Below are 26753 nucleotides of genomic sequence, written 5' to 3'. Positions count from 1 at the left end.
ATTTTTCTGAAACTATATTTTTTAATAATATATCATAAATGTATTTCCATGTTACTATATACAAATATATTTCATTTTAAAATGATCTCCGAGTATTTCATAGTATGGGTATACTAGATTTATTTAACCATTTATTATTATTATTATTATTATTTCAATAGTTTTGGGGGAGCAGGTGGTGTTTGATTACATGGATAAGTACTTTAGCTGTGATTTCTGAGATTTTGGTGTACCCATCACCCAAACTGTACACTGAACCCAGTGCGTAGCCTTTTATCCCTCACCCCACTCCCATCCTTCCCCTAAATCCCCAAAGTCCATTCTTATGCATTTGCATCCTCATAACTTAGCTCCCACTTATAACTGAAAACATAGATGTTTGGTTTTCTATTTCTGAGACACTTCACTTAGAATAATGGTCTCCAACTCCATCCAGATAAAATGCCATTATCTTATTCCTTTTAATGGCTAAGTATTATTCCATGATATGTATACACCACATTTTCTTTATCCACTCATTGGTTGATGAGCATTTGGGCTGGTTTCATATTTTTGCAATTGTGAATTGTGCTGCTATAAACATACATGTGCAAGTGTATTTTTCTTATAATGACTTATTTTATTATTTTATTTTAAACCAAAGATACATAGTAGTGGGATTGCTGAGTCAAATGGTAGATCTACTTTCAGTTCTTTAGGGAATCTCCGTAATGTTTTCCATAGTGGTTGTAATAGTTTACCTTCCCATTAGCAGTGTAAAAGTGTTCCCTTTTTACCACATTCATGCCAATGTTTATTGTTTTTTGATTTTTAAATTATGGCCATTCTTGCAGGAATAAGGTGGTATCTCATTGTGGTTTTGATTTGCATTTCCCTGATCATTAGTGATGTCCAGCATTTTTTCATGTTTGTTGGCCATTTGTATATCTTCTTTTTAGAATTGTCTATTCATGTCTTTAGCTCACTTTTTAATGGGATTATTTGTTTTTTCTTGATGATTTGTTTGAGTTCCTTGTAGATTCTGGATATTAGTCCCTTATCAGATGCATAGTTTAAGAATATTTTTTCCCATTCTGTAGATTTTCTGTTTACTTTGCTGAATATTTATTTTGCTGTGCAGAAGCTTTTTAGTTTAAGTCCGATCTATTTATCTTTGTTTTTGTTGCATTTGCTTTTGGGTCTGGGTCATGAGCTCTTTGCCTAAACCAAAGTCTAGAAGAGTTTCCCCATGTTATTTTCTGGAATTTTTATGATTTCAGGTCTTAGGTTAAGTCTTTGATCCATCTTGAGTTGATTTTTGTATATGATGAGAGATGAGGCTTCAGTTTCATTCTTCTGCATATGGCTTGCCAACTATCCCAGCACCATTTGTTGAATCGGGTGTCCTTTCCCCATTTTGTGTTTTGTTTTCTTCCTCAAAGATCAGTTGGCTCTAAGTATTTGGCTTTATTTCTGGGTTCTCTATTCTGTTCCATTGGTCTGTGTGCCTGTTTTTATACAAGTACCATGCTGTTTTGTTGACTATAGCCTGGTAGTATATTTAGAAATTGGGTAATGTGATATCTCCAGATTTGTTCTTTTTGCATAGCCTTTCTTTGGCTATGTGGGCTCTTTTTTGGTTTCATACAAATTTCAGGAATTTTTTTCTAGTTCTGTGAAGAATGATGATGATATTTTAATGGGAATTGCATTGAATCTGTAGATTGCTTTTGTCGTATGGTCATTTTCACAATATTGATTCTACCCATCCATGAGCATGGGATGTGTTTCTACTTGTTTGTGTCATCTATGACTTCTTTCAGCAGTGTTATGTAGTTTTCCTTGTAGAAGTCTTTCACCTCCTTGGTTAGGTATATTCCTAAGTTGTTGCTTTATTCAGTTATTGTAAAAGGGGTTGAGTTCTTGATTTGATTCTCAGCTTGGGCGTTGTTGGTGTATAGCAGTGCTACTGATTTATGTACACTGATTTTATATCCAGACACTACTGCATTCATTGACCAGATCTGGAGCTTTTAGGATGAGTCTTTAGGGTTTTCTAGGTGTACGATCATATCATCGGTAAACAGCAACAGTTTGAATTTCTCTACAGATTTGGATTTTTTTTCTCTCTTTACCAGTTTCTTTCTCTTGTCTGATCGCTCTGGCTAGGACTTCTGATCCTATGTTGATTATAAGTGGTAAAAGTGGGTGGCCAGGCACGGTGGCTCACGCCTGTAATCCCAGCACTTTGGGAGGCTGAGGCAGCCGGATCACCTGAGGTCAGGAGTTTGAGACCCGCCTGACCAACATGGAAAAACCCTGTCTCTACAAAAAATACAAAATTATTCTGGCGTGGTGGTGCATGCCTGTAATCCCAGCTACCCAGGAGGCTGAGGCAGGAGAATCGCTTGAACCCAGGAGGTGGAGGTTGCGGTGAGCTGAGATCACGCCATTGCACTGCAGCCTGGGCAACAAGAGCAAAACACTGTCTCAAAAAAAAAAAAAAAAAGTGGGCATCCTTGTCTTTTTCCAGTTCTCAGGAGGAATGCTTTCAGCTTTTCCCCATTCAGTGTAATGTTGGCTGTGTGTTTGTCATAGATGGCTTTCGTTGCCATAAGGTGTATCCCTTCTATGCTGATTTTGCTGAGGGTTTTAATCATAAAGGGATGCGGGATTTCATCAAATGCTTTTTCTGTGTCTATTGAGATAATCGTATTATTATTGTTTTTAATTCCATTTATATGGTGTATCATATTTATTGCTTGCGTATGTTAAACTAGCCCTGCATCCTTGGTAGGAAACCACTTGATCATGGTGAATTATCTTTTTGATATGCTATTGGATTCGGTTAGCTAGTATTTTGTAGAGGACTTTTGCATCTCTATTCATCAGGGATATTGGTCTGTAGTTTTCTTTTTTTGTTATGTCCTTTCCTGGTTTTGGTATTAGGGCGATACTGGCTTTATAGAATGATTTAGGGAGGATTCCCTTTGTCTCTGTCTTTTGGAATAGTTTCAGTAGGAGTACCTATTCTTCGAATGTCTGATAGAATTCAGCTGTGAATTTATCTGGTCCTGGATTTCTTTTTGTTAGCATTTTTTTGTTACTCTTTCTATCTTGCTACTTGTTATTGGGATGTTCAGAGATTCTGTTTCTTCCTGGTTTAATCTAGGAAGCTTGAATATTTCTAGGAATTTATCCATCTCCTCTAGGTTTTCTAGTTTGTGGTCTTGAAGGTATTCATAGTAGCCTTCAATGATCTTTTGTATTTCTGTGCTATCAGTTGTAATATTTCCTATTTCGTTTCTAATTGAGCTTATTTGTACTTCTCTCTTTTTATGTTGGTTAATCTCGCTAATGGTCTATTGATTTTGTTTATCTTTCAAATATCTAGCTTTTTGTTTTATTTATCTTTTGTATTTTTTGTTTCAATTTCATTTAGTTCTGCTCTGACTTTGTTACTTTTTTTTTCCACTTGCTTTGGTTTGGTTTGTTCTTGTTTCTCATGTTTCTTGAGGTGTGAGCTTAGATTGTTTGTTTGCACTCTTCAGACTTTTTGATGTAGATGCTTAATATTACAAACTTTCTTCTTAGCACCACTTTTGCTGTATCCCAGAGACACAATAGGTTGTGTCACTATTATTATTCAGTCCGAACAATTTTTTCCTTTCCATCTTGATTTTACTGTTGATCCAGGAGCAGATTATTTAATTTCCATGTATGTGTATAGTTTTGAAGGTTCCTTTTGGAGTTAACTTCCAATTTTATTCCACTGTTGTCTGTGAGAGTACTTGATATAATTTCAATTTTCTTAAATTTATTGAAACTTTTTTGTGTCCTGTCATATGATCTATCTTGCAAAATGTTCCATGTGCTGATGAAAAGAATGTATATTCTGCAGTAGTTTGGTAGAATATTCTGTAAATATCTGTTAATTCCATTTGTTGTAGGGTATATAGCTTAAATACATTGTTTCTTTGTTGGCTTTCTGTCTTGATGACCAGTCTAGTGCTGTCAGTTGAGTATCGAAGTCCCCCACTACTGCTGTGTTGCCATCTATCTTGTTTCTTAGGTCTAATAGTTATTGTTTCATAAATTTGGGAGCACAAGTGTTAGGTGCATATATATTTAGGATTGCTACATTTTCCTATTGCCCTAAATTTTTCATCATTATATAATGTCTCTCTTTGTCTTTTTTAAATTTGTTCCTTTAAAGTCTGTTTTGTCTGATATAAGAATAGCTACTCTGGTTCACTTTTGGTTTCCATTGGCATTGAATATCTTTTTCCACACCTTTACCTTAAGTTTATGTGAGTCCATATGTCTTAGGTGAGACTCTTGAAGACAGGAGATACTTGAGTGGTAGATTTTTCTCCATTCTGCCATTCTGTATCTTCTAAATAGATTATTTAGGCCATTTATATTCAACTTTAGTATTGAGATGTGAACTAATGTTCTATTCATTATACTAGTTGTTACCTGAATACCTTGTTTTTCTTTTTTTTTTTTTAATTATGCTTCAAGTTTTATGGTACATGTGCACAATGTGCAGGTTAGTTACATATGTATAGATGTGCCATGTTGGTGTGCTGCACCCATTAAATCATTATCTAACATTAGGAATGCCTCCTAATGCTATCCCTCCCCCCTCCCCCCACCGTACAACAGTCCCCAGTGTATGATGTTCCCCTTCCTGTGTCCATGTGTTCTCATTGTTCAATTCCCACCTATGAGTGAGAACATGCGGTATTTGGTTTTTTGTCCTTGTGATAGTTTGCTGAGAATGATCTTTTACAGTTTCATCCATGTCTCTACAAAGGACATGAACTCATCATTTTTTATGGCTGCATGGTATTCCATGGTGTGTATGTGCCACATTTTCTTAATCCAGTCTATCATTGTTGGATATTTGGGTTGGTTCCAAGTCTTTGCTGTTGTGAATAGTGCCGCAATAAACATACGTGTGCATGTGTCTTTATAGCAGCATGATTTATAATCCTGTGGGTATATACCCAGTAATGGGATGGCTGGGTCAAATGCTATTTCTAGTTCTAGATCCCTGAGGAATCGCCACACTCACCTCCACAATGGGTGAACTAGTTTACAGTCCCACCAATAGTGTAAAAGTGTTCCTATTTCTCCACATCCTCTCCAGCACCTGTTGTTTCCTGACTTTTTAATGATCGCCATTCTAACTGGTGTGAGATAGTATCTCATTGTGGTTTTGATTTGCATTTCTCTGAATGCCAGTGATGATAAGCATTTTTTCATGTGTCTTTTGGCTGCATAAATGTCTCCTTTTGAGAAGTGGCTATTCAAATCCTTTGCCCACTTTTTGATGGGGTTGTTTTTTTTCTTGAAAATTTGTTTAAGTTCATTGTAGATTCTGGATATTAGCCCTTTGACAGATGAGTATATTGCAAAACTTTTCTCCCATTCTGTAGGTTGCCTGTTCACTCTGATGGTAGTTTCTTTTGCTGTGCAGAAGATCTTTAGTTGAATTAGATCCCATTTGTCAATTTTGGCTTTTGTTGCAATTGCTTTCGGTGTTTTAGACATGAAGTCCTTGCCCATGCCTATGTCCTGAATGGTATTGCCTAGGTTTTCTTCTAGGATTTTTATGGTTTTAGGTCTGACATTTAAGTCTTTAATCCATCTTGAATTAATTTTTGTATAAGGTGTAAGGAAGGGATCCAGTTTCAGCTTTCTACATCTGGCTAGCCAGTTTTCCCAGCACCATTTATTAAATAGGGAATCTTTTTCCAATTTCCTGTTTTTGTCAGGTTTGTCAAAGATCAGATGGTTGTAGATAAGCGGCATTATTTCTGAGGGCTCTGTTCTGTTCCATTGGTCTATATATCTGTTTTGGTACAAGTACCATGCTGTTTTGGTTACTGTAGCCTTGTAGTATAGTTTGAAGTCAGGTAGCATGATGCCTCCAGCTTTGTTCTTTTGGCTTAGGATTGACTTGGCAATGTGGGCTCTTTTTTCTTTCATATGAACTTTAAAGTAGTTTTTTCCAATTCTGTGAAGAAAGTCATTGGTAGCTTGATGGGGATGGCATTGAATCTGTAAATTACCTTGGGCAGTATGGCCATTTTCACGATATTGATTCTTCGTACCCATGAGCATGGAATGTTCTTCCATTTGTTTGTATCCTCTTTTATTTCATTGAGCAGTGGTTTGTAGTTCTCCTTGAAGAGGTCCTTCACGTCCCTTGTAACTTGGATTCCTAGGTATTTTATTATCTTTGAAGCAATTATGAATGGGAGTTCACTCATGATTTGGCTCTCTGTTTGTCTGTTATTGGTGTATAAGAATGCTTGTGATTTTTGTACATTGATTTTGTATCCTGAGACTTTGCTGAAGTTGCCTATCAGTTTAAGGAGATTTTGGCCTGAGATGATAGGGTTTTCTAGATATACAATCCTGTCATCTGCAAACAGGGACAATTTGACTTCTTATTTTCCTAATTGAATACCCTTTATTTCCTTCCCCTGCCTTATTGCCCTGGCCAGAATTTCCAACACTGTGTTGAATAGGAGTGGTGAGAGAGGGCATCCCTGTCTTGTGCCAGATTTCAAAGGGAATGCTTCCAGTTTTTGCCCATTCAGTATGATATTGGCTGTGGTTTTGTCATAGATAGCTCTTATTATTTTGAGATACGTCCCATCAATACCTAATTTACTGAGAGTTTTTAGCATGAAGGGCTGTTGAATTTTGTCAAAGGACTTTTCTGCAACTATTGAGATAATCATATGGTTTTTGTCGTTGGTTCTGTTTATATGCTGAATTAAGTTTATTGATTTGCGTATGTTGAACCAGGCTTGCATCCCAGGGATGAAGCCCACTTGATCATGGTGGATAAGCTTTTTGATGTGCTGCTGGATTCCATTTGCCAGTATTTTACTGAGGATTTTTGCATGGATGTTCATCAAGGATATTGGTCTAAAATTCTCCTTTTTTGTTGTGTCTCTGCCAGGCTTTGGTATCAGGATGATGCTGGCCTCATAAAATGAATTAGGGAGGATTTCCCCTTTTTCTATTGATTGGAATAGTTTCAGAAGGAATGTACCAGCTCCTCCTTGTACCTCTGGTACAATTCGGCTGTGAATCCATCTTGTACTGGACTTTTTTTGGTTAGTAAGCTATTAATTATTGACTGAATTTCAGAGCCTCTTATTGGTCTATTCAGAGATTCAACTTCTTCCTGGTTTAGTCTTGGGAGGATGTATGTGTCGAGGAATTTATCTATTTCTTCTAGATTTTCTATTTTATTTTCATAGAGGTGTTTGTAGTATTCTCTGATGGTAGTTTGTATTTCTGTGGGATCAGTGGTGATACCCCGTTTATCATTTTGTATTGTATCTATTTGATTCTGCTCTCTTTTCTTCTTTATTAGTCTTGCTAGCGGTCTATCAATTTTGTTGATCTTTTGAAAAAACCAGTTCCTGGATTCACTGATTTTTTGAAGGATTTTTTTGTCTCTCTATTTCCTTCAGTTCTGCTCTGATCTTAGTTATTTCTTGCCTTCTGCTAGCTTTTGAATGTGTTTGCTCTTGCTTCTCTAGTTCTTTTAATTGTGATGTTAGGGTGTCAATTTTATATCTTTCCTGCTTTCTCTTGTGGGCATTTAGTGCTAGAAATTTCCCTCTACACACTGCTTTGAATGTGTCCCAGAGATTCTGGTATGTTGTGTCTTTGTTCTCATTGGTTTCAAAGAACATCTTTATTTCTGCCTTCATTTTGTTATGTACCCAGTAGTCATTCAGGAGCAGGTTGTTCAGTTTCCATGTAGTTGTCCAGTTTTGAGTGAGTTTCTTAATCCTGATTTCTAGTTTGATTGCACTGTGGCCTGAGGGACAGTTTGTTATAATTTCTGTTCTTTTACATTTGCCGAGGAGTGCTTTACTTCCAACTATGTGGTCAATTTTGGAATAAGTATGGTGTGGTGCTGAGAAGAACGTATATTCTGTTGACTTGGGGTGGAGAGTTCTGTAGATGTCTATTAGGTCCGCTTGGTGCAGAGCTCAGTTCAATTCCTGGATATCCTTGTTAACTTTCTGTCTCGTTGATCTGTCTAATATTGACAGTGGGGTGTTAAAGTCTCCCATTATTATTGTGTGGGAATCTAAGTCTCTTTGTAGGTCACTCAGGACTTGCTTCATGAATCTGGGTGCTCCTGTATTGGGTTCATATATATTTAGGATAGTTAGCTCTTCTTATTGAATTGATCCCTTTACCATTATCTAATGTCCTTCTTTGTCTCTTTTGATCTTTGTTGGTTTTATTAGAGCCTAGGATTGCAACCCCTGCCTTTTTTTGTTTTCCAGTTGCTTGGTAGATCTTCCTCCATCCCTTTATTTTGAGCCTATATGTGTCTCTGCACATGACATGGGTTTCCTGAATACAGCACACTGATGGGTCTTGACTCTTTATCCACTTTGCCAGTCTGTGTCTTTTAATTGGAGCATTTAGCCCATTTACATTTAAGGTTAATATTGTTATGTGTGAATTTTATCCTGTCATTATGATGTTAGCTGGTTATTTTGCTCGTTAATTGATGCAGTTTCTTCCTTGCCTCGATGGACTTTACAATTTGGCATGTTTTTGCAGTGGCTGGTACTGATCATTCCTTTCCATGTTTAGCGCTTCCTTCAGGAGCTCTTTTAGGGCAGGCCTGGTGGTGACAAAATCTCTCAGCATTTGCTTGTCTGTAAAGGATTTTATTTCTCCTTCACTTAGGAAGTTTAGTTTGGCTGGATATGAAATTCTGGGTTGAAAATTCTTTTCTTTTTTTTCTTTTATTTTATTATTATTATACTTTAAGTTTTAAGGTACACGTGCACAATGTGCAGGTTAGTTACATATGTATACATGTGCCATGCTGGTGTGCTGCACCCATTAGCTCGTCATTTAGCATTAGGTATATCTCCTAAAGCTATCCCTCCCCCTCCCCCCACCCCACAACAGTCCCCAGAGTGTGATGTTCCCCTTCCTTTGTCCATGTGTTCTCATTGTTCAATACCCACCTATGAGTGAGAATATGCGGTGTTTGGTTTTTTGTTCTTGCGATAGTTTACTGAGAATGATGATTTCCAATTTCATCCATGTCCCTACAAAGGACATGAACTCATCATTTTTTATGGCTGCATAGAATTCCATGGTGTATATGTGCCACATTTTCTTAATCCAGTCTATCATTGTTGGACATTTGGGTTGGTTCCAAGTCTTTGCTATTGTGAATAGTGCTGCAGTAAACATCCATTTTCATGTGTCTTTATAGCAACATGATTTATAATCCTTTGGGTATATACCCAGTAATGGGATGGCTGGGTCCAATGGTATTTCTAGTTCTAGATCCCTGAGGAATCACCACACTGGCTTCCACAATGGTTGAACTAGTTTACAGTCCCACCAACAGTGTAAAAGTGTTCCTATTTCTCCACATCCTCTCCAGTACCTGTTGTTTCCTGACTTTTTAATGATTGCCATTCTAACTGGTGTGAGATGGTATCTCATTGTGGTTTTGTTTTGCATTTTTCTGATGGCCAGTGATGGTGAGCATTTTTTCATAAGCTTCAGCAAAGCCTCAGGATACAAAATCAATGTACAAAAATCACAAGCATTCTTATACACCAATAACAGACAAACAGAGAGCCAAATCATGAGTGAGCTCCCATTCACAATTGCTTCAAAGAGAATAAAATACCTAGGAATCCAACTTACAACGGACGTGAAAGACCTCTTCAAGGAGAACTACAAACCACTGCTCAATGAAATAAAAGAGGATACAAACAAATGGAAGAACATTCCATGCACATGGGGAGGACGAATCAGTATCATGAAAATTGCCATACTGCCCAAGGTAATTTATAGATTCAATGCCATCCCCATCAAGCTACCAATGACTTTCTTCACAGAATTGGAAAAAACTACTTTAAAGTTCATATGGAACCAAAAAAGAGCCCACATCGCCAAGAAAATTCTTTTCTTTAAGAATGTTGAATATTGGCCTTCACTCTCTTCTGGCTTGTAGAATTTCTGCTGAGAGATCATCTGTTAGTCTGATGGGCTCCCCTTTGTGGGTAATCCGACCTTTCTCTCTTGCTGCCCTTAACATATTTTCCTTCATTTCAACTTTGGTGAATCTGACAATTATGTGTCTTGGAGTTGCTCTTCTCGAGGAGTATCTTTGTGGCGTTCTCTGTATTTCCTGAATTTGAATGTTGGCCTGCCTTGCTAGGTTGGGGAAGTTCTCCTGGATAATATCCTTCAGGGTGTTTTCCAACTTGGTTCCATTCTCCCTGTCACTTTCAGGTACACCAGTCAGACGTAGATTTGGTCTTTTCACATAGTCCCATATTTCTTGGAGGCTTTGTTCGTTTCTTTTATTCTTTTTTTCTCTAAACCTCTCTTCTCGCTTCATTTCATTCATTTGATCTTCCATCACTGATACCCTTTCTTCCAGTTGATCGAATCGGCTACTGAGGCTAGTGCATTCGTCACATAGTTCTTGTGCCTTGTTTTTCAGCTCCATCAGGTCCTTTAAGGACTTCTCTGCATTGGTTATTCTAGTTAGCCTTTCCTCTAATTTGTTTCAAGGTTTTTAACTTCTTTGCCATGGGTTCGAACTTCCTCCTTTAGCTCGGAGTAGTTCGATTGTCTGAAGGCTTCTTCTCTCAACTCGTCAAAGTCATTCTCCGTTCAGCTTTGTTCCATTGCTGGTGAGGAGCTGCATTCCTTTGGAGGAGGAGAGGTCCTCTGATTTTTAGAGTTTTCAGTTTTTCTGCTCTGTTTTTTCCCCATCTTTGTGGTTTTATCTACCTTTGGTCTTTGATGATGGTGATGTACAGATGGGTTTTTGGTGTGGATGTCCTTTCTGTTTGTTAGTTTTCCTTCTAACAGTGAGGACCCTCAGCTGCAGGTCTGTTGGAATTTTCAGGAGGTCCACTCTAGACCCTGTTTGCCTGGGTATCAGCAGTGGAGGCTGCAGAACAGCGGATATTGGTGAGCAGCAAATGTTGCTGCCTGATCATTCCTCTGGATGTTTTGTCTCATAGGAGTGCCCTGCCATGTCAGTTGTCAGTCTGCCCCTACTCGGGGGTGCCTCCCAGTTAGGCTGCTCAGGGGTCAGGGACCCACTTGAGGAGGCAGTCTGTCCGTTCTCAGATCTCCATCTGCGTGCTGGGAGAACCACTACTCTCTTCAAAGCTGTCAGACAGGGACATTTAAGTCTGCAGAGGATTCTGCTGCCTTTTGTTTGTCTGTGCCCTGCCCCCAGAGGTGGAGTCTACAGAGGCAGGCAGGCCTCCTTGAGCTGTGGTGGGCTCCACCCAGTTCAATCTTCCAGGCAGCTTTGTTTACCTACTCAAGCCTAGGCAATGGCGGGCACTCCTCCCCCCTGCCGCCTTGCAGTTTGATCTCAGACTGCTGTGCTAGCAATGAAGGAGGCTCTGTGGGTGTAGGATCCTCCGAACCAGGCGTGGGATATAATCTCCTGGTGTGCCGTTTGCTAAGACCATTGGAAAAGTGCAGTATTAGGGTGGGAGTGACCCGATTTTCCAGGTGCCGTCATCAGTCACCCCTTTCTTTGGCTAGGAAACGGAAGTCCCTGACCCCTTGTGCTTCCTAGGTGAGGCAATGCCTCGCCCTGCTTCGGCTAGCGCTTGGTGCACTGCACCCACTGTCCTGAACCCAGTTTCCGACACTCCCCAGTGAGATGAACCTGGTACCTCTGTTGGAAATGCAGCAATCACCCGTCTCTGTGTCACTCATGCTGGGAGCTGTAGACTGGAGCTGTTCCTATTCAGCCATCTTGGGTATTTTTCATTATGTTATTTTTTAATATGTCCTGTGGGATTTATGCTTTAAGGAAATTTTATTTTGGTGTAATTTGAGGTTTTATTTCAAGATATAGAGCTCCTTTTAACATTTCTTGTAGAGCTGGCTTGGTAATGGCAAATTCTCTCAGCATTTGTTTTTGTGAAAAAGCCTTTATTTCTCCTTCATTTATGAAGCTTAGTTTTGCCAGATACAAAATTCTTGACTGACAATTATTTTGTTTAAGGTGGCTAAGGATAGGACCCCAATCCCTTCTGGCTTGCAGGGTTTCTGCTGAGAAATCTGCTGTTAATCTGCTAGGTTTTTCTTTATAGTTTACCTGGTGCTTCTGCCTCACAGGTCTTAAGATTCTTTCCTTCATCTTGACTTTAGGTAACCTGATAACTGTATGCCTAGGGATGATCTTTTTGCGATGAATTTCCCATGTGTTCTTGGCTTCTTGTATTCGGATGTCTAGATCAGTAGCAAGACCAGGGAAGTTTTTCTCGATTATTCCCTCAAATAAGTTGTCCGAACTTTTAGATTTTTTTTCCTCAGGAACAACAGTTATTCTTATGTTTGGACATTTGACATAATCTCAAAATCTTTGAAGGCTTTGTTCATTTTTTAATTATTTTTCTATGTCTTTGTCAGATTGGTTTAATTTGAAAGCCTTCTCTTCGAGCTCTGAAGTTTTTTCTTCTCTTTGTTCAATTCTTTTGTTGAAACTTTCCAGTGTATTTTGCAATTCTTTAAGTATGTCTTTCATTTCCAGAATTTGTGTTTGTCTTTTATGATCTCTATTTCTCTCTAGACTTTTTCATCTATATTTTGTGTTGTTTTTTAATTTCTTTAAGCTGGTTTTCACCTTTGTCTGGTGCCTCCTTGAGTAGCTTAATAATCAACCTTCTGAATTCTTTATCTGCAATTCAGAGAGTTCTTCTTAGTTTGGATCAATTGCTGGAGAGCTAGTGTGATCTTTTGGTGATATTATAGAACCCTGTTTTGTCATATTACCAGAATTGTTTTTCTGGTTCCTTCTTATTTGAGTAGACTGTTTCAGTGGAAAGATTTGCAACTCAAGGGCTGATCTTCAGATTCTTTGGTCCCATGGGGTGATCCCTTGATGTGGTGCTCTCCTTCTTTCTCCAGGGATACAGCTTCCTGCAAATCAGACTTCAGTGATTCTTATTGTTCTTCTGAGTCTAGCCTCCCAGTGGGGCTACCAGGCTCCAGGCTATTTCTGGGGAATGTCTGCAAACAGTCCTGTGATATGATCCATCTTCAGGTCTCCCAGTCATAGATTCCAGCACCTGCTCCACTGGAGGTGGCAGGGGAGTGAAGTGGACTCTGTGGAAGTCCTTGCTTATATTTTTGTTTAGTGTGCTGGCTTTTTTCAAATACTGGTTATGCTAGCAGTGAAGTTGTCACAGGGACAGACTCAGGACCTCTAGTTAGCCAGGGTGTTGTAGGACATGGAATTAGCTGTTGTTTTCTCCTCTTTGGATCAGGGTTGTTCTGTTATGAGTTGCTGTAATGGCTTGAGTTGGCTGGCCTCCAGCAGGTGGTGCTTTGAAGAGAGTGCCTTCTGCTGTAGTAGAAGGGTATGTAATCTTGCCCTACATTGGCTAGGATGGGTACTCACGTTTTTCAGGTGATAGGTGGTGCCATAGATTTCCCAGGAGTTTATGTCTTTTGTCTTTGGCAACCAGGGCAGTTAAAGAAAAACCAGCATGTGGGGGCAAGGTTAGGTGAGTCTGAGCTCAGACTCTCCTTGGGTGGGGCTTGCTGCAGCCACTGTGGGAGATGGTGGAGGGGCGGTGATTCTCAGGCAATGAAGTTATGTTCCCAGGGGATTATGGCTGTGTCTGCTGCATCAAACAAGTTGCCAGGGAAGTGGGGGAAAGCCAGCAGTGACAGGCCTCACCTAGCATCCATGCAGCCAGCAAGGCCAATCTCATTCTTGCTTTGCCCCACCTCCCAACTGCACGTTTATATCCAGGCAGCTGGTGAGCAGGGCTGAGATCTTGCCCCAGGCTACAAGCCTCCCCAGTGAGAAAGCATGCAGGGCTCAGGCCTTACCCCTCCTTGCCTGCCTGCCCACCTGGTCAGCTATGGCTTCTATGCTTATATCTGAGCTTTCTGATCACTTCCCCCTACCAGGTTTCTGCTCATGAAAATTTATGCTCAGTTGAAATTATTACAGAGTTCAGCTAGAAGCTTTTTTCATTCTGTGGCCTCTCCACAATTCTTGCTGGCTGCCTTCCCTTCCCCAGGGACCTCTGTGAGATAAAGCCAGGAATGGCTTCCCTGGGCTGGAGCTGGGGACCATGAGTGCCTATAGGGCCCTTCCCACTGCTTCTTCGACTTTTATATTTTGCTTGGCTCCCTAAATCCATTTCAGCTCTACGTAAGGTTAAATCTTTCTCTGGTGATCTGGATTTTCAGGTTTCCCAGTGGGGATGTATGTTTGGAGGTTGACTTTTCTCTGTGTCATACTTTGGGAACTCAGTTTTTCAGCTGTCTCATGGCATTTGCAGCAGCAAGCTGCTTCTTTCAAAGGGTCTGTGATTTTTTTTGGTTTTCCTTGTATGTTCTTGCAGTGGGTCTTGGGGCAAAAGTTCACCATGTGAGTCACCAGATGCTGTTCTGTCTGTCCAAGTAGGAGCTGCACATTAGTTTTGTCTCCTGTCTGCCAATTTTCTATTTAACCATTAATGATCAACTTAAAACTGAAGCTTATTTTTTTCTTGATTATGAAAGTACTTGAACGTCTTAAAATGCAAGTAATACAGAAATGGATAACTTAGCGTAAGTTGTTAGTAGTCACTACAGAGTTACGGATGGAGTGAGCTTTGGTAGTGTCTATTGTATACATCACGTTTTAATTTTTTAAGTGATTTTTCCCCTTTACGTTTTGACAAGTCGCTTTTGATATAGCTACATCTAAATGTACCATTTCAAAGCTCTGCCTTTCCTATGCTTCAATACGTCTCTCTCCAGTGGGCTGGGCTGGACCTCCCATCCTCCTTTGCCTTTCCCAACATGCCTTGCAGTCTCCACTTGTATCAGGTTACTGATGGTGGGGCGTATATTGAGCCAAAATGATTATATATATATATACATGGAAACATCAACCACAGTGCAGCCAATGGTAGGTTTTAGAGTCATGATTTTGCTTCCCACCATAGCTGTGTACCTATCAACACAGCTTTCAATCCTATAGCCTGTAAGTCCTAACACATTTGAGTATGACTATTGAGGAAAATAAAAATATTAGACTGGGAAGTCAAGTTAGATAAATATGTGTCATCTTTTTTTTGCCAAATGTCAAAAAATCTAAGATGAAAAGACACCAAAGGTAAATATCTATTTTTAGATCTTTGTTTTTGTCAGATTTATTGAGATATAATTTATATGCAGTGTCACCATTTTTGAGTATACAGGTTGATAAGTTTTGACAGTAGTAAACAGGAATGTAAAAACCACCACTATACAGTTACAGAATATTTATATTACCCCAAATGATTCCCTTTACCCCATTCACAAGAAACCCTCTCACTCTTCATCCCTGACAACTGCTGATCTGTTTTCTGTCCCTTTAGTTTTACCTTTCCCATAGTTATATAAATTGAATCATACAGTATGGAGCCTTTTGTATTAGGCTTTCTTCACTTAGCATCATATATTTTTAAGATTCATCTGTGAGTATGTGTATGAAGTAACTTGTTTTTATTGCGGAGAAGTATTTCATATTACAGATGATCACAGTTTGCTTATTTATTCACCAGTTTAGGAACATTTGGTTTGTTTCCAGTTTGAAACTATTTTGAATAAAGCTGATAAGAATATATATGTATAAGCCTTTGTGGAGATATATGTTTTTGTTTCTCTTGAGTAAATACCTAGCTGTGGGATTCTTGGGTCATATGGTAAGTGGATGATTAACCTTATAAGAAACTGCCAAAGTGTTTTCCAAAGCAGTTCTACCATTTTGCTTTCCTATAATTGATATATGAGAGTTCTCCTTATTCCACATCTTCATTATCATTTAGTGTTATAAGTTTGTTTTTGTTGGTGGTGGTGATAGTTTCTTATATTCTATTCCATAAAGTATGAAATGGAGGCTCCTTGTGATTTTTAATTTGCACTTCTGTAATGACTAATCTTTTCATGTGCTTGTTTGCCATCTGTATATCTTCTAATGCGAAGTGTCTGTTTAGTCTTTTTCCTTTTTTTATTGAGTTGTCTTATTATTGAGCTATAACAGATCTTTAAATGCCTGAGTATAAGTCTCTTTGTTTTTAAACAAATCTGATTCCTCCCCATGGAGCAAAATTACAATCAATGGAAGGGAGTTGTGAGGAGGTATATATATACTTGATATGAGGAAAATGTGTCTAACAATTGGAGTTTTCCAACAATAGAATAGACTGTTCCAGGAGCTAAGTTCCTCCATTACTTCAGGTGTTCCCAAAAGCTGAGTAAGCAATTATTAGGGATAATGTACAGCAGATTGATGCATCTTCTTAATACATTAGATCAAATGGTATCTAAGTTTTCTTCCAACTCTGAAAATGTGTGAAATTAACATAAATTAAGTCAACATCATATTAATGAGATAGAGGAATTATTGGTTGCATCAACAAAAGGTAATACATTCTGAGGGAACCACGTTGTGATTGGTAGAATCCCTTCCACTTCCTTAGCAAGCAGAGAACTAGCTTACAAATCCGTACCCACCATATAGGCAATAGGGATTCTGCTTTGTGTGTGTGTGGGTGGGTGTGTGTGTGTAGTCTTCTGTGAATATCCCTGACAATTTGAATGCATTGGGCAGTACTTAATCCAAATTATACATGCAGAATAATGATATTTCAACTATCCATTTTAAACCAGGAAAGAAGCCAAAGATTATTCCCCAAGGCATATTGGCCTGTGTACTTTCTTATCCCCAAGATCAATGAATCAATGAAACTTGTGGGTAGGCGTTATCAACAAGAGGACTAGAAATAAACTATTTTCTTTTTTTAATTTAGTTTTTATTTTTTTAGAGACAAGTTCTCACTATATCACCCAGGCTGAAATGCAGTGGTGACATCATAGCTCACTGCAGCCCCAAATTTCTGGGCTCAAGTGATCTTCCCACTTCTGCCTCCCAAGTAACTGAAATTACAAGCATCTGCCACCATGCCCAGATAATTTTTTTTGTAGTGATAGGGTCTTACTTTTCTGCCTAGGCCAATCCTCCCATGTCAGCCTCCCAAAGGGCTGGGATTACATGTGTGAACCACCACGCCTGGCCCATTTTTTCTCTTTTTTAACAAACCCGTGGTTCATCTGCCCCTGAAATCTGTGTAATTTTTATCACCATGTCTCAGAAAACAAATCACTAAGATTTAAGAGGGAGTGAGAGGAAGAAAACAGGTTTATTAAGTCCTAAGAGTATGTCAGATACTTTCACACATTTAAGCCAATTAATTACCACAACAACTTTGACAAGCAGGTATTTTAATCATATATATATATATATATATACACATACACATATATATACACATATGTGTATATATGTATATATGTATGTGTGTGTATATATATACATATATATATATATACACATACACACACATATACATACATGTGATCATATATATACACTTATGATTATCGGCAAGGTTAACCAGCTTCTCGAGGACATATAGTTATTAAGGGCAAATCCAGAGTTCAAAACCTAGTCATCTGATTCCAAATCCATTGGATTTTGCACGACACTTCAACGCCCAAAACAGACCAAAAAGGAGAGACCTCGTCAGCATGGAACAAACAAAATCTGAAAGGGACTATCAATAAAGCTTATAAACATAAGAAGTTTATATATTTTGGTAGCTTGATGTCATTCACCAAATTCCAATACATGAGTACTAGAAAGCTCTTTGAAACTTAACAATGCTGTTTAAGACAACTAATATGAAGCCCTGCTTTGCATAGTGGCTGGCAAACTTATGAGACTCACTACTCCCAAAGAATTGGTATAGACTGATAATCTAACCAGCTTCATAGAAGGTTTATGTAAATTGATGAGTAGTAGATGCCTAATGGATAATTAGAAGAAATTAGGATACCTGGAAGACAACCCTAACTTTTGAAGTGGATATCAATGAGGAAAACTAAGCCATTTCAAAATGTAATATCATGTATTAGCACCAGAATTTGATCCCAGTATTAGAGATACTCCCAGTGGGTAGCCAGCTAAACATTGGATGCAACTCTTGAGAAAATCTTGAATTCTAGAGGGTGGCTAAATCATGGAAACAACTCTTTTAAAAAATAATTTCAACTTTTTTTGTAGATTCAGGGGGTACATGTGCAGGTTTGTTAGCTGGGTATATTGCATGATGGTGAGATTTGGGGTACAATTGAGCCCATCACCCAAATAGTAAGCATAGTACCCAATAGGTAGTTTTTCAACCCTTGTTCCCCACCCCCCAACACAGTAGTCTCCATCATCTATTGGGAAACAACTCTTGAGCAATTCTTGTACTGTCATGAAGAATGAGATCTTGGGCACACCTTATGGGCGTCTTACACCATTATCTTCATTCCTTCAAATAGCTGAAAAACAAGGTCTAGCTTTTTGTTAGAGTTTGTAAAGCAGAGAAAGTAAAGTGAAGCAATGAACTCAAATATTAGAATTAACATTTTATTGCTAAGTGTTAGGCTCAAAGAGAGATGTGACCGTCTGGCTGACAAACCTCCCCCTGATCTGCAGCATCTTAATAACCTTTATGGGTGGCTTTGATGCAGACTGAAATTTGAGAATCACTGCTCTGAGGAAAAGCACTCTGGACTGGGACTGAAGAAACTTGGATTCTGGTTCCATTGCTTCCATAACTTTGCTGGGTAATTCTGATCAAATCACTTGCCCCTCTGGGCCTCAGTTACTTCTCTGTAAAATGAGAGTGTTGAACCAAATGATCTCTATGGTCTCACCTTACTCTAAAATATTGGTATAGTTCCTATTTTACCGGTTTATAGAATAACCTCGACTTAGTCATTTAACCTCAAAATCCTTCATTTTCTACCGATTTATTTAACAGTACCCATAATTTCTATGAAACCTTGTAATGTAGGAATGGGAGCCAGCTGTTTCCAATTCCGTGATTGAACCAGTTGATGCGTAGTAGTACCTGGAACAAGTTAAAGTCCCACACTTCCCATCTCAATCATTGGAATTAAAAATACAGTTAATGTGCTTAAGATACTGCCAAGTGTAGGAGTTTAGTGCTCAGTCACTCAGGTGATCCAAATTGGTTAACCACATTACCCTTGAAGTGTATAATGAGAGGGTAAACATGAAATTGTTTTCTCCTGATCTCTTTAAAAATCAAAGATTTCACACTCCCATACTGAAGGAACATGGGTTAACATAACTTAGTCATGTAATTTTCCCCGTACAAACCTCATAAAATCAAAGAAACAAAAAAATTGCAAAAGATAACACATTAAAAAAAAATTTAAAGGCATTGCCTAAGAGAAAAAAGTATGATAACACTTCACAAAGGCTAGCCTAGAGACACTCCCAGGGGGTAGCCAGCTAAACACTGGACACAACTCTTGAAAAAATCTTGAATTCTAGAGGGCAATGGAAGAGGCGCTCTCACTTATTGATGATGAGAATATAAATTAAATACAAATATTCTTAATGGCAGTTTGGCAGTATCTACAAAAAGACATGCTTTTTGACCTTGCAGTTCCACTTCAGAGAATTGATCCTATAGATATTTTTTGTGCATGTGCTGATGACATATATAAAAATTATTCATTGAAGCATTATTTGTATTAGCAAGAGAAGGGGGAAGAACAAATTTTCCTCAGAGACAGCCTGGTTAAATAAATTATGGTAACTTATAGTAAGTGAAAAAGAAGTAAGGTACAAAACAGTGTGTATCGAATACTGCCATTTGTGGAAAAACACACTATTTGGGTGATTTTATATGTATAAAATCATAAAGGATACACAACAAAGTCATGGCTTTGTGATGTTGGTTGCTTCCAGCGAGGAGAACTGGGTGGCTGGGGGACAGGTATAGAAGGAAGACTTTTCACTGTATACTATTCCATACTTTCAGATTTTAAAACTTATAAATATATTACTTTTAAAAAGAGATACAATTAAAAATGTTAAAATATTACAAATCTTTCATGTTTGTGGTGTACATATGTTTGTATAAACATATACAAATAAGAGGATCTGGAATGATACATACCAAACACCAAAGAGGTGTTGTGCCTTAGAATGGGGAGGTGAGAAGTTAGATGTATGTGTGGGGTGGACATTTACCTTTTACTTTATATTGCTTGAATTTTAAAATGAGATTTCATAGTTACAAAAATCAAGCACATATAAATGGTCTTGTCCTGTAGGGCTGGGAGAACTGAGCCAGGAGAGTAGAGTCTCTTTTTTTTTCAATTCAATTATAAATGTATGAGAGGCTCAGTCCTATTAAGTTGGTCTTGAGTCATTATTCCCTTGAGTCTTTCTGACGGATTGAAGTAATAAGACCATACCATTTAAGGACTCACAGTCTTGCAGTCTTATAACCACCTCTGTGGAGAATACCAAAATATCGCATATGAGAAGAGCTATCTAAAAGGCAAAGGGTATGAAAAGAAAGGTAGTAGAGAGCCACTTTTATAACTGTCTCAGAAGTACAACCCACACTTCAAAAGTATATAATCTTCAATGGAATACTATTCAGCCATAAGAAAGAATGAAATCATGTCTTTTGCAGCAAGATGGATGGAACTGGAGGCCATTATCTTAAGTGAAACAACTCAGACACAGAAAGACAAATACCTCATGTTCTCACTCATAAGTGGAAGCTAAATAATGTGTACATATGGAAACAGACTGTGGAATGATAGATAATAGAGACTGGTATGGGTGAGGGGGTAGGAGAGGGGTGGATGATAAGAAACTACTCAGTAGGTACAATGTACATTATTCAAGTGATAGATACTCTTGAAAGCCCTGACTACACCACTGTGCAACCTATGCATGTAACGAAATTTTCCTTGTACTCCATGAATTTATACAAACTTTTTTAAAAGAAAAAAACTGTTTAGTCTTTAACACCTGGCTACATTATAGACTACCTGTGTGACTTTGGTTAATCAACTACCTCTGGTAGTTAATCGACTATCCCTATCTTATTACCTATCTTACAAATTTATTGAGAAAATAAAATGAAATAATATATGTGAAAGCATGTTGTAAACTCTAAAGTGCTGTGTAAATTGTGTCATTATCACCTTTCAGTACTCAAAGTAGCAAAGATAATGACAATTGGCTGAAGTAGTTTTCCCTACATTGTCATAAAGGACATTTCCCCCTTCAAGAATGACATGGCAACTTTTAAGGTGTGCAACTTGCAGAATGTCTTTGTTTCAGGTTTGTCATTATGGCTTGTTTCTGTCACTGTATGGGAAAATAAAATTAACACTTCATAATAATACCAGAGAATACATGTTAATAAGAAAACAATAAAAATTCGTCATGGAGCTTTGTATTTTTGAATTCTTAGAAATGGATAAAAAGATAGTATAAACACTGATTTTTTTTTTATTTCAGTTATTTACCTCATACTCTACCATGCCATCTTTGTGTTCTTTACCTGGACCTACTGGAAGTCTATCTTTACACTCCCACAGCAGCCAAACCAGAAGGTAAGAATATTGGTTACTTCTTAAAGGATAAGAACAGAAAAAAGTAGAAGTGACAATAAAGCAAGAAGAGGACAAAAAGAGGAGTAAATAATACGAAAGAGTCAGGGTAATCTTAAAGAACTCCTAGTGATAAAGGTGAATTGAGGGTAGGATAGGCTATTGAAGGAGTTTGTGAAATCACCAGCTCTGGATATCTTTAATACTAAGAAGCCAACTGGGTGCTGTGGCTCACACCTGTATTCCCAACAATTTTGGAGGCTGAGGTGGGAGAATCACTTGAAGCTAGGAGTTTGAGACCTAGGCAACAAAGTGAGACCCTGTCAATACACAGAATTTTTTAATTATCTGGGCATGGTGGAGCACACCTGTGTTCCCAGCTACTCAGGAGGCAGAGGCAGGAGGATTACTTAAACCCAGGAGTTTGAGGCTGCGGTGACCTGTGATGGTGCCACTACACTCCAGCCTGAGTGACAGAGTAAGACCCTGTCTCAAATTTTAAAAAGAGTAGGAAACCACTACCTGCATTGGTGATATAATTAGAAAACAAGAACCCACTTGGACTCTGAGGCCTCATCTAATTCAATTCTATGAAACTACTATTTTAGTACCAGTGATTATTTTATTTATTTAGTGCTGTTATTTCATTCCAGTGAGACTCTGAAATACAACTCTGAGAAAAAAGCACAATAGTTAAATAAATCATTTTCAGACTGTGTTACCTTAAATGCGAGTGTTTCATGCAATATTTTTAAAGGTTCATGAAATAATTTGTGATTATATCAGGCATTTGTAATGTGTAACTACTCTAAATTAGGGTAGGTTCCAAAGTAGTAAAAGAACAATAGGGAAACTTTCCAGCCTCCGAACATTAGGAAAAATACTGTCTCCTTAATGAAGCCAAAATGGTGCACAAGAAAAATAAAGTTAACTACAGAGAAAGGCAACAATGTAGAAATTGAGGAATGTAAGAGATATGAGATATGAAGAAAATAAAGAGTAAAATGACAGAAGTTATTCATAATAAGTAATTACTTGAAACATAAATGGATTAAACTATTCAATTAAAAGGTTGAAATTGGCAGAATGGATAAAAAATTGTGATTTACCTTTATACTGTTTACAAAAGTCTAACTTTAGAACCAGAAACATAAATAGGTTGAAAATGTAAAGCTAGAAAAAGATATCACTAGTAAATAGTAATCAAAACAGAGCAAGGGTGGTTATATTAATATCATACAACAAAGACTCTTTAAGTAAAAAAATGTTACAAGAGACGAAGAAGGACATATATTTACAAAAGAGTCAATTTATCAAGAATATGTGACAGTTATAAAATATATGTGTGTAATAAGAGAGCCCCAAATTATAAGAAGCAAAAACTGAGAGAAGTAAAGAAAAAAATACACAATAACAGTTACACAGTAATAGTTGGAGACTTCAATACCCCACTTGCAATAATGGATACAATAACTAAACAGAAGGTCAATAAGGAAATGGAGGATTTGAACAACACCAAACCAGCTACATGTAACACACCTATATAGATCACCCAAAAAGAGTAAAATGTACTTTCTTCCTAAGTGTACGCAGAACATTTTCCAGTATAGACCATATATTAGGCCATAATACAAGACTCAATAAATTTAAAAGACACAAAATATCTTCTCTGATTGTGATGGAATGAAACCACAAATCAATAACACAAAGAAATCTACAGTTTCATAAATATGTGGAAATTAAACACATGCTTAACAAATGAATCAAATAAGACAGCATAAGGGAAATTAGAAAATATTTTGAGATGAATGAAAACAAGAAAAAACTTAACAGAAATTAGGGGATGCAATAAAGCAGTGCTCAGAAAAAAATTTATGGCTGTAAGTACCTTCATTTAAAAAGGATAAAAATTTCAAAATAGTCTGACTTTTCATCTTAAAAAACCATAAAATAAATAGCAATCTAAAACCAAAGTAATCAGAAGGAAATAATAAAGATTAGAACAGAAGTAAACAAAATGAGGAATAGAAAATAATACAGAGACCCAACAAAACCAAAACTGAGGGTTAACAAAATTGTCAAACCTTTATTTAGCTAGACTGAAAAGGAGAGAAGGAGGGAAGAGAAGGGAAAAGAGGAGAGAAGGGAAGGGAGGGGAGGAAGAGGAGGAGAGGAGAAGGGAGGGAAGGGAGGAGAAAGGAACATAAAAAAGAGTACAGGCACAAATTACTTATATTAGGAAGGGAGGGAGGGAAGAAAGGAAAGAAGGAAGGAACAAAGGAAGGGAAGGAGGGAGGAAAAAAGGAAGACGTAAATTACTAATATCAGAAGTGAAAGTGGAGATGTAACTACCAACTTTAAATAAATTGAATTATAAGAAAATAATATGAAGAATTGTGTGCCCCTAAATTTGATAACCTAGATGAAATGGAAAAACTTTTAGAAAGACACAAACTGCCAAAACTGACTCAAGAAGAAATAAAAAATCTGAATAGACTTTTAACAAGTAAAGATATAGAATTAGTAATCAAAAACCTGCCAACAAAGAAAACCCAAGGACCAGATGGCTTCACAGATGAATTCTATCAAATATTTAAGGAATAATTAACATCAATCCTTCCCAAATTTCTTAAAAAAAAAAATAAGAAACATTTCCTCTGGCTAGTGCAAGTAGGCAAGAAAATCAAATAAAAGACATTGAAATTGAACAGGAAGAAGTAAAATTATCTCTGTTTGTAGGTATGATCTTACATATAGAAAACCGTAAATATTCCACATGTAAAACCCTATTATAAATAATAAATGAATTCAGCAAAGTTGCAGGATACAAAATCACCACATCACGCAAAAACCAATTATGTTTTGATACACTAACAATGAACAATCTGAAAGGAAACTAAAAAAGCAATTTCATTTATAATAGCACCAAAAACATAAAATACTTAGGAATAAACATAACCAAAAAAGTGAAAGACTTCTAAAGTGAAAACTAAAAAATGTCACTGAAAGAAAGTAGACATGAATAAAGGGAAAAGCATCCTGTATTCATGAATTGGAAGAGTTAATATTGTTAAAACGTAAATACTATCCAAATCAATCTATAGATTTAATGCAATTTATATCAAAATCCCAATGATCTTTTTTTTGCAGAAATAAAAAGTCATTTTCTAAAATTTATATGGAATATCAAGAGATCCCACATACCAAAAACAATCTTGAAAAAGAACAAAGTTGTAGCTTCACACTTCCTGATTTCAGAATTTACTGCAAAGCTACAGTAATCAAAACAATGTGGTACTAGCATAAGGACAGATATGTAGACCAATGGAATAGGATAAAGAGCCCAACAACAAACACTTGCATATTTGGTCAGAAATCTTCAACAACCATGCTAAAAGCATTCTAATGGAGAATGCACAGTCTTCAACAAGTGGTGTTGGGATAACTGGATGTCCATATCCAAAATAATGACGTAGAACCTTTACCTCACACCATATATAAAAATTAACTTAAAATAGATCCAAGATCTAAACTTAAGAGCTAGGATTATAAAACTTAGAAAAAAAATCCACAGAGGAATATTTTTATAACATTGGTTTGGGAATTTCTTGGATATGACACTGTAAAAAAGTAAACATACATAAATTGGACTACATCATAATTTAAAATTTTCATATGTCAAAGGATACATTTAACAGAGTGAAAAGGCAGCCTACAGAATAGCAGAAAATATAAGTAATATGTTAGATAAACAGTTATTATACAGAATATTTAAAACCTACAGCTAAACAAAAAACTTTTTTTTATTTATTTTTATTTATTTATTTATTTTTTTGAGACGGAGTCTCGCTCTGTCGCCCAGGCAGGAGTGCAGCGGCGCAATCTCGGCTCACTGCAAGCTCCACCTCCGGGTTCACGCCATTCTCCTGCCTCAGCCTCCCGAGTAGCTGGGACCACAGGCACCCGCCACCACGCCTGGCTAATTTTTTGTATTTTTTTTAGTAGAGATGGGGTTTCACCGTGTTAGCCAGGATGGTCTCGATCTCCTGACCTCATGATCCACCCGTCTCGGCCTCCCAAAGTGCTGGGATTACAGGCATGAGCCACCGCGCCCGGCCAACTCATTTTATTTTTAAAAAATAATTTCAATTTTTATTTTAGTTTCAAGGGTTATATGTGCAGATCAGTTTTAAAATGGGTAAATAACTTGACAGTTCTCCAAAGAAGATACCTCAATGATCAGGAATATTTTAGTCAGGGTTCTCTAGACGGACAGAACTAACTGTGTGTGTGTGTGTGTGTGTGTGTGTGTGTGTGTGTATAAAGGGGATTATATATATATATATAAAGGGGATTATATATATATATATACACACATATGGGAGTATATAAAAGTGTAAGTATAATAAAAGTACATATATGTGTGTGTGTGTGTGTGTGTGTGTATATATATATATATAAAGGGGAGTTTATTAAGTATTAATTCACACAATCACAAGGTCTCACAATAGGCCATCAGCAAGCTGAGGAGCAAGGAAAGCCAGTCTGAATCCCAAAAATGAAGAAGTTGGAGTCCGATGTTTGAGGGCATGAAAGGTCCAGCACAGGAGAAAGATCGAGGCTTGGAGGCTAGGCCAGTCTAGTCTTTTCACGTTTTTCTGCCTGCTTTATATTCACTGGCAGCTGATTAGATGGTGCCCATCCAGATTAAGGGTGGGTCTGCCTTCCCAAGCCTACTGACTCAAATCTTAATCTCCTATGGCAGCACCCTCACAGACACACCCAGGATCAGTCCTTTGCATCCTTCAATCCAATCAAGTTGACACTCAGTATTAACCATCACAAGTCCACCCTTGTCAAGTTGAAACCATACACATCTCCTGAGACCATACATAATCTTCAAATCAAGACAATAATAAGGTCATAATTATGCCTGACATGATACAACTATCCTTTGTACAACAGAAACGCACCAATACCCAAACCAAATGCTATTACATAAAGTTAACAATACTTAAATGCTGATATGAAGTCAATAAATCTTATGTCACATGATAAAGGAAAAAGGAAATGGAAGATATTTTCTTAGTACGAGTGTATACATGCACAAATATGTTTTTAAGAAAAGAAGGAGGAAATACTCATGATAATTATAGTTCTTGTTTCTGCAACTGGTCACATGGTTGTAGCTGGTATTGATGACCACCTTCTACTCCTGTATTACA

General features: G+C 37.5%; 1 protein-coding gene across 14 annotated transcripts in view; it reads left to right on the top strand.

Moving 5' to 3' along the window:
* ZDHHC15 (zDHHC palmitoyltransferase 15) overlaps positions 1–26753 on the top strand; it is a 154611-nt gene that overhangs the window by 22616 nt on the left and 105242 nt on the right. For all 14 annotated transcript variants that reach the window (XR_001755658.3, XR_938393.3, XR_007068181.1 and 11 more), the window contains one exon: positions 21437–21531. Coding sequence is in view for 9 of the 14 variants with exons in the window: in NM_001146256.2 (NP_001139728.1) it covers positions 21437–21531 (95 nt within the window). In the remaining 5 variants the exon portion in view is untranslated. The remainder of the gene's footprint in view (positions 1–21436; positions 21532–26753) is intronic.

The sequence above is a fragment of the Homo sapiens genome, chromosome X (assembly GCF_000001405.40).
Source record: "Homo sapiens chromosome X, GRCh38.p14 Primary Assembly".
Taxonomy (NCBI): Eukaryota; Metazoa; Chordata; class Mammalia; order Primates; family Hominidae; genus Homo; species Homo sapiens.
The sequence above is the reverse complement of the archived record's forward strand: the minus strand, read 5'-3'. Positions and strand labels throughout refer to the sequence as shown.